The sequence below is a fragment of the Homo sapiens genome, chromosome 21, assembly GCF_000001405.40.
Source record: "Homo sapiens chromosome 21, GRCh38.p14 Primary Assembly".
Taxonomy (NCBI): domain Eukaryota; kingdom Metazoa; phylum Chordata; class Mammalia; order Primates; family Hominidae; genus Homo; species Homo sapiens.
Window position 1 is genome coordinate 29,641,417 of NC_000021.9, and position 12,990 is coordinate 29,654,406.

Here is a 12,990-nt window from a genome sequence, read left to right on the forward strand (position 1 = left end):
ATTGTGAGGCCTCCTCAGCCACGTGGAACTGTGAGTCCATTAAACCTCTTTTTCTTTATAAATTACCCAGTCTCAGGTATGTCTTTATCAGCAGCATGAAAATGGACCAATAGACTTGCCCAGGTTATATTGCTCATCAGTGTTAGTGGAACTAAGATTTAAACCCATGCAGTCACTGCCAGGACTAGGATAAAGTAAGAGAGGTGCTCAGGGTACAAAATTTAAGCGAGAATTTCCTCTTAATCTTGTGCAAGTATAGAATACTCACCCAAGAATGAATGTTTCCTTAAATTGCACCCTCATCCTGGGCTTGCAAGCAACCTAGATTTGTAGCCTAGGTACTTAATCCTTATACATCCCGCCTGCTTTATCCTCACCCTCATGGATCAGAGTCAGCCTTTAGTTGCATTGAACAGACTGAGAGAGGGTGTGCAGGCATGGAAGAGACCAGCAGAGACACGAGTCCAAAGCAGGTGTCTTTCCTTACTCTTAGCTGGGTATTCTCCTGTGCCCTCCCTCTTCTTTACACTATATTTCCATCCTTCTCCAGTACAGAAAGGAAAAAAATACTCTTCACTTGAGAACTAAATGTCTGTATCCCATAGAGAAATATTAGAATAGCATCTCAGAGCATTGCGCATACTCAGGCCTAGCTACTCCAAAGAGCCTTATTTCTTATCATCAAGTCCAGACACACCCTGAGGTTCGTGGTGGAATGGATGATCATGCAGTGTACATATCGATAAGGAGTCACGGGGCTTAGAACAGGGCCTTGTGACAAGGAGTCAAACTGCCTCAGAGAAAAGAAAAGGTGGAGGACAGTCCAGGATCCCAGGACATCAGTGAAGATATCTATCCCTGCAAATACCCCATACTCTCAAAAATCTTTTATGTGCTCAGTAGGTTTTGAATGGGAATAAACTTTTCCAGTTAGCTGATAAATGACAAAATAGTCACTATATAATTAAAGAGGTCCTTCCACTCAGTCCTGTACAGCCTGAGCTTTAGGAGGCCACTGGGATTGTGGACTGATAATGCTGGAACTATCTCTGGTACCCTTCAGTAATGGATCAACTCTCCCCTTGACTCAGTGGGACATGGAAGAAACACCCATATGCCCTTATGGACATGTGTGGAGAGCCAGCAGGAGCTATGGCCATGGCTGGCATGAAGGAGAGTAAGTGTTGGTATCTGGTAGCGTCACTGAACTTCTCAGCATCACAATGGAAAATTCCTGCTAGTCCTTCTGGACAAACTTTTGACACTGAAATCTGAGCAGACTGGTTGATGATGGCTTCCTCTCTCTTAGGGGCATCATGCCAGCAGAACCCTGTGGGGAGGACCATACCAAATGGGCAAGCCCAACAGTGCTCAGAAGGGCCCCTGGGCTGTGAGGGAGCATCACTTGCCTCTTTGATCAGGTTCATAAATCTGGGTCCGAGGCGCCATGGCTTATGTCTATGGCACTGCAGGGAGCTGACGGTCAGCTGGGATGCCCGGTGCGAGGCAATGGCCACCATGTACACAGCATCGTACATCAGAGCCGCTTCAGTCTGTGGAGGAAAACACACACCGCATCTTAAATTCCACTTTTGCTTACCTTCCTTTACTTGCATAATCACTCTCCCTGCTTCCATAGCTCTTATCTGTCTGATCTCAAAGGCCATTTACTCTTCAGCTAGGTAGTTTTCACTCTCCAATAGCTATTTTTCTCCAAAATAATACCTCACACTTTGGAGTAAATTGAAGTTATAACTCTGCTTCGTTTCAAGTTCTTTAAAAAAAAATAAAGCAACCCAGATCAGCCACAAAAGACTTGATTCAAGGAACAAATATTTTGCGAAGTGTCCTCCATGTTAAGCATGGTGTTAAGATCAACTACCTTGAGCTAGAAGCTACTAAAGCTCAAAGTTGCAATATCAGATTTGTTTCTCAGCATTTGTCTATATCTATTTATCTATCTACTTACTGGTTTATATTTGGTAGAAAGAAACTGCTACAATCACTAACAGGTGATTTCCAGATAAGGATACTGGTGTTGGTCACTTTCATTTAGCAGAGTTAAGAAGTTCATAGTCATGGAATGAAACTCAACGGCAAGTTTTGGGAGACCCTCTGAAGGGCAGACAAGTGCAGCTTGCTCAGAACATGCCTCCTCTTGCCAGCATGTGCTTTCTTGAGAGAGATTGAAACAAGTCGGTCATTCCTTTTAGGGGGTTGGGCATCTCGTTCTTCCCTTCCTCATGAAATTCCTCTCACTTGCACAATTTTACATAATACAGCATTTTATAAAATATGCTTCCCTGTGGTTTCCTTTAGGGATAAAATCTTATAATACCCTTGCATTTCACTTGAGGGTTTCATTGCAACTTCAAATACATTAGCTCATTTGAAATTCTCAACAAGTCTTCAAAATAAGCAGAAGAGATAAAGCTATTTATTATGTGAGAAAACTCACTTCGAGGTAGGATATTTGTGGAGGGGCACACACATGCACACACACACACACACATGCACAGCCACACACACACCACATACACAATCATAGTGAGAAATCCCAGAGATGTCACTACTTCTGCTTATTATTTCTGGAGAGTAATAGGGATTATATACATAGCTAATCATTTTCAGAGTTAAACCTAGAATCTAGGTCATAGAATGAAAATTATCATATGGTTTTCCAAAATTGGTTGATTCATTCAACATATACTATGCATTGATTGCTCATGTCTTGGTGGAGGTAGAAAGTGAGGACAGGGGTTACTATATCTCACAATTTTATCAGTCTTTGAGGTCACGGAATACCTCTACTTTGAATCATTATTATTCTGTTCAATCTTTATCATTGTATTTTCCATCTATTCATGGTCATGGATCTTTATGTCTGTATCTTGTTAAGAATATTGGTTTTTTGAAGGCAGAAACTGCTCAAATTTAAGTTAGCTTTGGTGACTAACATGGTTCCTGACACAGAAAAGTTGTTTAAACATGTTCACTGACGAAGTTAATACTACTCAATTCCTTAAAATGACATTTATTTTTGTGAGAACTGTAGAATTGCAAGGTTTTAAGATATAGTTTTAAGAAAAAGCATTTCATTCATGCTTATGTAATTGACATACTGACGTTGGATTGGTGGTGGCAGTAATTTATAATGCTTAAAAATGTTTTGATCATTTCAGTTCAGGACTTACACTATCCACTTTGTAGATGAGAAAACTAAGGCTCATGGAAATTGACCGGTATAAGGCTACTCTGTAATCAATTTCATTGCCAGGGTTTGAGCCTGCACCTGCCTGATTCTAGCACCCATGATCTTTACCACTTTGCTGTACTAATTCTGTTTAATTGGAGGAAAGTAAGCTACTGGCAGATTGAGACTTTTGGAAATGCAGTCAACAGCAATAGCTGACATTTATTGAGCACTTATGATATGTCGCATGCTGTTCTAAATCCCTTGCAAACATTAAATTTTCACTATAACCTTTATTCTTTTACAGATAAAGAAAAAAGATGTTAAATGGGATCCCCAAACTCATGGGGGGACAGGCAATATTCAAACCCACAAAGTTGGTGCTAGAGTATATGCCGTTAACCATAAAGCTGTGCTGCTTCTACACCAAGTTATTGGTCTGATGATTTAATAGTCACAATAATAGTTCAATAAAGGTTAATATTCACTGATAATTTACTATGTGCCAGGCACTATAAGCATTTTACATATGTCATCTTTTTTAATTACTGAAATTAAACTTTTGAAATAGGTATACAGACAGGGAAATTGAGGCTTGTAGAGAGGTAGAATAACTTGCCTAAAATTTTGTAGACATTAAGGGAAAGAGTGAGAATTCTAATTCGTGATGCAAACTCAGATTTCACCTCATGACCATAGCCACATGCTACAGTGACTTGGACTGTTTCTTATCAATAGGATATACTTTTTTGAAAATTCGTATGTGTTTTCATTAATTCGCTGAATGACCAATTTGATAGAGAAGTATAAGGACTGGAATTCTAATAATCTGACTTTTCCATAAACTTAGTTTAGAAAGGATGGGCATTCTTTCTCAAGGCGGGCTCCATATTGGGAAAGGCAATAAAATGATTCAAAATTATAGGTCTAATTTGTGCCCTTCAACCCAAAGAAGAAAACTATTTGTTCGAAAAAATATGCTACCCCTTGAAATACAATGTTTTCTTAGATGGAGAAAATGTTTACATTAACTATATTATAGCACTAATAAACTACCACTGATTTTCCTCCCCCTTTCAGTTTTGTGCTCGAGGCCTGCTTACTGAATGACTGTCATCATTTTAGGTAATAGGTAATGTAATAGAAACTGGCCTGTGTTCAAATTTTCTTCTTCCAAATGTGTTTCTGTTCACATTTTATGTATATCTAAAGCCTGGATGAAATCACATTGCTCAATGACCCTAAGAAAATCTTTTTACCACAATCTGAACCATGAAATAAGCACATTGAAAGCATACTTCTCCTCAGTACACAATGCTTTGGTTATTACAATTTGCAGTAAAGTATTAACTCACTAGGCTTAGGGTACTCAGACCTTGCACATTCCAAAGAGAAGATTGGCCCCTTGACTGGCTCTTGAGAGATAACTTTTAACTCCTTGGAATATCCCAATAAGAGTGTCATTGTATTCTTTGGGTCCTGGGCAATGTCAGATAGTTTATGCTAAAAACATGATTTATGATGAATGCCTATTTTTGCTGGCCTAGGTCTCTGGGCCATGCTGTATCAATTTGATCTCCCAAAAGGCTGGTTACTAAGTAACTAAGGCCAGCTGTATGGGAGCTCCATGCCTATGTGACCCATCATCCCAATAAAAAACCTGGACCCCAAGGCTTGGGTGAGCTTCCCTGGTTGGCAATACTTTCTAGTTGTCATAGATCATTGCTGAGGATTAAGTGCTGTTCATGCAACTCTATTGGGAGAGGATACTTGGAAGTTCATGCTTTTTCTGTGTGGACTCTCTGTCACTTTTTCCTTCGCTGATTTTACTCTATCGTCTGTTGCTATAAATCTGTCATTGTGAGTATAACAGCTTTTCTGAGTTCTGTGAGTCCTGCTAGCAAGTCATCAAATCTGAAGATGGTCTTGAGGACTCTGAACATAAGCCAGTCAGATGCCACCTCATCTTAGAGACAAGGACTGACGACACTATATGGCCTTAGAAAGTCCCCATACTTAGCTGCCTGGATGGTGTATAATTGTTGTTGGAAAAAGCTGGAGGAGATTGGGGTGCTGAAGAGAGACCTAATATTCAGAGATCAAATGGGTTGATCACACAGGGTCATATAGGTCCCAGATAAGATTCCATCTTGGGCTATATGTGCAAGCTAAGGAATGTGTTTCTTGGAAATACATGGATTCTGCCATGATATTTCAGAATATCTCTTGTTCTTTCTTTCCTTTTTTTTTTTTTAGAAGGAGTCTTGCTCTTATTGCCCAGGCTAGAGTGCAGTGGCACAATCTTGGCTCACTGCAACCTCTGCCTCCCTGGTTCAAGCGATTCTCCTGCTTCAGCCTCCTGAGTAGCTGGGATTACAGGCGCCTGCCACCACGCCCAGCTAATTTTTGTATTTTTAGTAGAGACAAAGTTTCACCATGTTGGCCAGGCTGGTCTCGAACTCCTGACCTTGTGATCTGCCTGGCTCGGCTTCCCAAAGTGTTGGGATTACAGGTGTGAGCCACCGTGCCCAGCCTCTTGTTCTTTTATTGACTACAAATGGGCAAAACATCAGGTATCATCAAGTAAATTCAATTCTATGTACTAGAGGTTTTGCATATGTGATCTAATTTAATCTGTAGAGTAACACTGTAAGGTGTTATTGTACAGATTTATGGATGAGCAGACAAACTAAGAGAGGTTAAATGACTTGTTCAGGTCACTTAGTTAGGAGACATAACCAGGACTTAACCCTAGGCTTTCATTATCTCGGAAGATTTTGCTTTCTGTACTGAATCCAGCTGCCTGTTTTCTTTCATCGCTGGAGTAGCAGTGGATGTACAAAGTGGGAACTCTATGACGTCTTCCCTGTGGGTCATGATTAAGGGAAATGTTTACAGGCAAGAGAGCAGGATAAGGCTCTGACGTAAGTTTATGTTGTGAGTGGATATGAAGAACTGGAAAGGCAGATGTCAGATCAATGTTTGGTTGTTCCCCTGACTCCTGTGCAGTGTTGACTCATACACAATTTTGGTCCACTGAGAAGGACCCATTTGAGAATGAACCATTCTGTATTATCCCAGTCTATCCAAAAGCTGAAAGGTCGAATCAGCCCAATTGCTGAGAAAAATGTAAACATTATAAAAGAGAACAAAGTAGATTTTATAAAAATCACTCCAAACTTCTGTTAATTCTGTCAATTACCACTTCAGTTGATAAAACACTCTTTCTTTTTCTCAAGATATTTTTTAATAACGAGTTTTACTGTTTTTCAACTCCGTTGACTCAGTAACAATTTTCTTAGTAACTTAATTTTAACCTAATTTTTAAACTAAATTTTTTTCTTTAATTAATTCTATTGTTCTTAAGTCTGGTGTCAAGACTTTTTGGATATAGGCATGACTGATTTCTCTATTTTCAGGTTTGAATGTTTTGATATAATCATATTTTTGAGGATTTTTAGTGTATGAAATTCTAGGAAATGCTTAATAGTTAGAAATATTAGAGAGAAAAATAGACAATTGAATGGGAAATCAAAACACATGCATTTTCCTTATGCTTTTTTCTAATTCCTATATTCATCCATGTATGTATGCACCACATACCAATATGACTATAAACAGCTACAGAGAAATTCACCTTGAAGAATAGTGGAATGAAGCATATGATTTCAGAGAATTCAATTCTATTATAGTAGTAGCATTATTTAAATATTAAGAGTGGCCAGTCTGTGACTAATTTTAAAAAAACACTATTATTTTAAAGTAATCTCTATTTTACTAATCATGCACATTCACATATATCTTGTTTATAGGAACTCTCTGCACTTTTATGGGACTATTTCAAGGCTGCCTAAATATTTTTCATTTAACATCTTCAGTTTTAGTAGAAGCTTAATTCTTATTTATTTAGCACATTAATTTCTTTATTAAATACATATTTATTGACGGTGTACTTCGCACTGGGCCTTTTCTAGTGCTGGGGAGAAAGCAAAGCACAAAATCACAAAGCCTCTTTTTCATAAAAGACACTTTTATGAAGTGTCTATTCTTGTAGGGAAGGTACTGAACAAACGAATCAAAATATAACACGTCAGGTCATAAGGGCTATGAAGAAAACAAAAACAGGTAAGAAGAAAGAGAGAAAAACCAGGGAGGGGGCTACTGTACTAGATGGTGATTCATGGAGGCTCTGTCTGGTGAAGTGGCATTTTGTAGCCTGGATAAGTGAGACTTCAAGGCAGGGGGACAGCAAGTGCTTGATGTGCAAGAATGAATGAAGGGCAGGGTCTGCGATGTGGACCCAATGAAACTGAAACCAAAGGACTTTTTATCTTTAACGTAGAGAAGAAAGAGTTTAAATAGAGGCAACTTGACAGCAAAGATTTGTTAGCTTTGGGCCTGGGTTTGGGGTCATAAGTTTGCTCTCTTGGCTTAGCTATTGATCAAACGGAGGTCCTTTCGTGCCCTTCAATGCCCTTCACCTCCCATGACACAGTTTCCACATTCCCAAAGTAGCCACATCCAGGAGAAACAGAAAGAAAACAGTCAAGTGCAAAGCAGACTCTTTGGATAAAAAAAGGTAAATGTTACGCTTCACATAATTTCAAAGTTATTATCTGCATGACTGTTGGATACAACTCATACTGGGGCCTGCATCCTATCACTTTTTAAAAAATTAGTATTGACACGACCTGATATATTCAATAGTTACTCTACCCACTTTTGCAGCACCTTAGTGAGCTACCCTCTTCTGCTCTGGTAAATCCCCACTTTCCTTTATATAGTTAATTATAATAATAACTGTAAGAACACAGTCTAGAAACCCCTCTCTTAGTTGGGATGACAGTAAAAATCTTCAGGCAGACCAGGACCTCTTCCATCCACTGGGACTCAACCTTATCACACTTCCTGCCCAGGGGATTACCGTTAGCTCAGGACACCAGCTGCTGCCCTGGGATAGCAGCTTCACCTCACGCTCGGCCTGATTCCACATGAATTGCGTAGGTCTGTCTCCTTTGTTCAACGATCTTCCTCATTTCAGTCAATATGTACAAACTGTTTTGTCAGCTCAGTATAATTGAACACACAGACTTTTTTTCTTTGTAAATTAAGCCATACTTGTGATGAATATTTAATGTTTGGCATAAGTCCACAGTCTGTGTTAACATAGCTTCAAACTGTAACTCTTTTAGTGGTATATACCAAACACAGGTAAAAATGATTTGAGATCTCATCCTGTGATTGAAACTTCATTGGAAAAGTGGGCAGAGGATTTCGAACCATATTTGAACTCATTGAAATTATAAACCCAAGAGGAAGAAGAGAAAAACCGATCTATTAGCGTGCTTCTCCCTCTGTCTCTGGTGTTCCCTCTCCCTTTCAGAAATATAATATTTCCCTGGATATTCTCTACTTGCTCCTATTCAAAGAAATGTTTCAAATCATCCCAGGGCTCATTTGTACCAAGATGCTTTCCATCATTATCTCTCAGTTCACTTTGAATATTTTAAAAGTTATTTCAGGTTTGAAAAACAGTTAGGGAGCCTGAACATAGAATCATCCAGAACCACTTAATTCATTCATTTAGTTCTTCACTTTCATTTGTTCCTCATAAGAAAAAGGGGAAAAAAATCCCAAGTTCTCTGTGAGATGTTGGGTAAATTGCATCTTAAAAGCGAGAGTGCGTCTCCCGATGATAGGAATGGATAATAAAATACTATGCCATTTTAAAATGCTATTACCTGCCTGCATTCCACAATATCTTTCCCCTTAGATGGCTCCCATATAGGAAGCATTTTAAAAAATTATTTCCTGCTATTTTCTTCAGCACCCAGGGAGCTTCATTAGAGAAATATAGTGAAGGTAGGTGCATTTGACAAGAGACAAATGATGTTAGGGAGAAGCTCTCTGATGAGGCAGTTCGCAATGTATCTGTTCAGCAGAGTATCTCTGACTTGTCAGGAGGCAGGTCTGGCATCTGCTTCAAGAGCGACATATGGCTGGTGTTAAACACTGTCAGTTCTGCAGAGGTGAACCTATACGCATCCAGGACAGGAAGAGCTGAATACACCGACTGTTTGTAAATCCGACATTTTTCCACACTGGCTTTGCTTGCTGAAATGTGGCAGAAGTGAGGAACACAAATCGGTTCTGCAAAACTCACAGGTAGGTTGTTCCTCCTCTTCCCCCACCAGCCACCTTCCCCACAGCCACATTCCTAGAATAAAATGCTCTTCACTTGTCCTTGCACTGGTTTGGCTGATAATGGTGATTACTCTTGTCAAGTTTTTTATCTGGGGCAAGTACATCCAGGAAGCTAAAAGTAGCAGTTTTTGCTAGTAGCCAGTCACAGCCTTTCAAATTACCTAAAAAGCAAACTCTTTCTTCTCTACTGCAAGTCAAGGCACCCACTGTAACACTTTTCTCTAATATTTTAAAGATACGTGAGATCTTAACCCCGAAGGCATTCAAATATTCTTGCAAATGATTTTATTTGAAAATGACTTACTGTCATCATGCCATCCAAAAGGCCAGTCTCGGGCCTGGGTGGGGCCTGCAGTCTCTCCATGGACCACTTCTCAATGATGGATGACACGTGAGGGTTGTCAATGTTAAGCAGCCGAAACCCGGTCATGTTTACGCCACTGTACCTATAGAGTTCCAGATCCAAAGCAAATAAGTCCTGCATAGTATCAAAAAGGATAACAGTGGAAAATAATTAGAATTTTCATTTTTTATACAAAAGAATATTAATGATTGTAGCACCAACTAATACAATGATACCTTTTATCTGTGGTTTTGTGGTTCATGGTTTCAGTTACCTGCGGTCAACCACAGTTGGAACATGTTAAATGGAAAACTTCAGAAATAAGCAATTCATAATTTTAAAATTGCACACCACTCTGAGTAGCATGAGGAAATCTTGAGCTGTCCCATGCTGTCCTGCCTGGGACATGAATTATTTGTCCAGAGTCTCCATACTACAGATGCCACCTGCTCATCAGTCAGTTAATAGCTGTCTCAGTTATGAGGTAGAGTATCGTGGTATGGAAGTGCTTTGTTAAGTCACCCTTATACTTCATAATGGTTCCAGTCTGCAAGAGTATTGTGCCTAATTTATCAATTAATCTTTATCCTAGGTTTGTATATATAGGAAAAACATAATCTATATGGGGTTTGGCACCATACTAGATTTCAGGCATCTATTGGAGGTCTCAGAACATATACCCATTGGATAAAGGGGAGCTGCTATAGATTAAAACAAAATGGCAGCCGTACCACACTATTTCAATAAAAGAACATTTTTCCCATTGTTTTTCATTAACATGCTGCCCTAAAAATTCTAGGGCAGTAATCAGTTTTCATTTTCATCTGTTTTATTTTTGCAGTACTGTTAGAGTTTAGATAAGTCAAGAGGAGGAATTTGGCTGCTGATAATTAGTATGTCCTTGGGCACAGGATGTAACATTCTAAAAAGCTAAGAATTCTGTTCCCAGTTCATAGCCTTTGGGGTATTTTGAAGAATATTTATTTCCATTTGGTTCAATGCTTTTATTTTACAGATGAAGAAACTGAGGTTCTGAGTGGTGATGTGATCAGAACAAGAATGAACCACTGGCAGTACCCACTCTTCTCCACCAAATCTTGCACCCCAGGCTGTTCCAGGTCTTGCCACAAAGTGAAATTTGAAAACTGCATATGCATTTGGCAGGAAAATCACTCCTGGCCGAAAAAAAATCATCTCCTGGCTTGTTGAAAAGAACTCATATCTCATACAACGAGGGCATGAAGAATGTTCGCTGAACATAGGCTCAGAATAGGTACCAAAGGATGCTCTTCAGAGGACATACTAGAGCACAAGGTTACATGGATGCAAGAACATCTTAATAAGGGAACCCATTCCCTTGCAGACAATGTTTCAGGAAAAAAAGTTGAACTCATCCTGGTGTTTTCTATTACAGATGAGGCTGAGTGTAAACCAGAAGTTTCTAAATTGATTCACATTTAAGACAGGGTTATGTAATAATTTCAACTTTTTTCTTATATGAAAAGACTAGATTTAAAAATACATCATTAAAATATATCACATTTCAGAAGAAACTCAACTTTCAAGATAACATTTAACAGGAAAAATACTTCCATAAAAGTTTCTTAACAATGCAACCGCTTTCTGAAAGTGCATTGCAAGACAGGACATTATCCTGATGATTACAGGTACTGAAAAGCAGCAGCTTCAGAAACACTTCGCAATTTGCATTTGCGGAAGATGCATACAAATTTATTCTTTTGATGAACTCTCTCTTTCCCAAGATATATTTGGATGAGGCAGTAGAACTGTAAGAGCACAGCTCTGTGCTCCGAGATCAGTATCAGAAAAGTGTACAATACTGCCTTTTAAAGCATTGCATATTTTTTTCCTTAACACTAAGTAACTATTTTTTTCTTTAACTTTTATTAATACTCATGGGCAAGAATGGTAAGAATATAAAAGCCAACCAGGACAGAATGCAGATAAAATCAGAGGAAAAGGATGAAAGAAGCAAAGTTAAAGAAGAGGACCCAGGCAAAAATGAGTCCGGTAGCACACTCAGTGAATAGAAAGACAGTTAAGTCCAGTCTCAGGAGGTAAGACAGAAACTGCCAGAATACACATGAACCCTCTTAGAGATTCATAGTACATAGATTTAACATGCTAAAATGACATACATTAAACATGTGCAAAATTAGGTTGTCCTACAATTTAGGGTTTCCACGCAACAAAGAATGTCAGAAGTCTAAAATCCGATTTGCTACATCCCCTTGTGCATGCAGAATGAGTGTTAGGGGTGAAGAGGAATAAAAGTGCACATTTATTCATCCTCTATGGTCTCCTAGCCTTGGTAGGTTCCATTATTCGTATTCCTTCTCAAATTTCTCCCACACCAGCTCTTCCAGGGTGTTCACAGCTGGAGGAGGTAGAAAGTTCCGAGGCAGATGGCCATGTCACCTTGAGTAACCCTCAGGTGTTCTTCGTGATGGGAAGAACCATATTTGTAAGCAGAGTAAGACACTTTGCAGTTCTCAAGTTTTCCCTCAGCTGTTCTCAAGGATGACATGATCAAGAAACAGTAAGAGGCAAATGGGAAGACTATGCAAACCTTAGTTCAGGAATTTCTACCCTGTACCCACTTCCACCCTATGGGAAGACTATGCAAACCTTAGTTCAGGAATTTCTACCCTGTACCCACTTCCACCCTATGCTCAGTAGCAGTAATGATTTTGACAACTGTCCCAAAGCATTCATTTCATGATGTCCTCTGCACTCTCAAAGACATTTGAGTCAGAAATAGAATTTACTACTTCGGGTCCTTATTCTAAATTCTTTGAATTCCCCTACTCACTAGCTTGTCAGCTGAATTTGCTAAAATGGCACTGTTACTGACCCCCCCAGAATCCAGGTCAAATTTAGCTAATATACTCTTACAGATTAGAAAACGAGCTTGATTCTGTTTTTCTTCTCATGTAAGGAAGTGGAATGTGTGAGTGTGTAGGTGGGGAGGTGGGGGCTGTCACTGATTTCTGAAATTGACTGAATGAAAATTATCACATCATTTTGATGTGTTAAATACCCTAAATCATTCTCCATGATCAGATAGTCTCTCAAAATTTAAGATGTCCTATGGTTTCTTTTAGATTTCTAAGGCTTAGGACCATGATTTTTCTTAATGAGGCAAAATGTTCAATGTGCAGAGCATCTCCAAAACTCCCCTTTCTGAAGGTTTTTCAGACATCTGACAGGTAACCCCTGGCTAACCCAG

The 12,990-nt window shown here is 39.1% G+C and overlaps 1 protein-coding gene across 13 annotated transcripts in view, besides 1 other annotated feature; it reads right to left on the reverse strand.

The window, feature by feature from the left end:
• GRIK1 (glutamate ionotropic receptor kainate type subunit 1) overlaps positions 1-12,990 on the reverse strand; it is a 403,064-nt gene that overhangs the window by 104,484 nt on the left and 285,590 nt on the right. For all 13 annotated transcript variants that reach the window (NM_001320621.2, NM_001320618.2, NM_175611.3 and 10 more), the window contains 2 exons: positions 9,702-9,875; positions 1,410-1,553 (listed from right to left, as the gene is read on the reverse strand). In NM_001320621.2, coding sequence (NP_001307550.1) covers positions 1,410-1,553; positions 9,702-9,875 — 318 coding nt within the window. The remainder of the gene's footprint in view (positions 1-1,409; positions 1,554-9,701; positions 9,876-12,990) is intronic.
• Positions 8,805-10,004: an enhancer, noted in NCBI's record as "BRD4-independent group 4 enhancer chr21:31022541-31023740 (GRCh37/hg19 assembly coordinates)". NCBI's record gives its function as "activates an origin of replication core promoter dependent on BRD2, P300/CBP, MED14 and CDK7 cofactors, and independent of BRD4, by STARR-seq in HCT116 cells {active_cell/tissue: HCT116}" and the evidence as "EXISTENCE:reporter gene assay evidence [ECO:0000049][PMID:35650434]".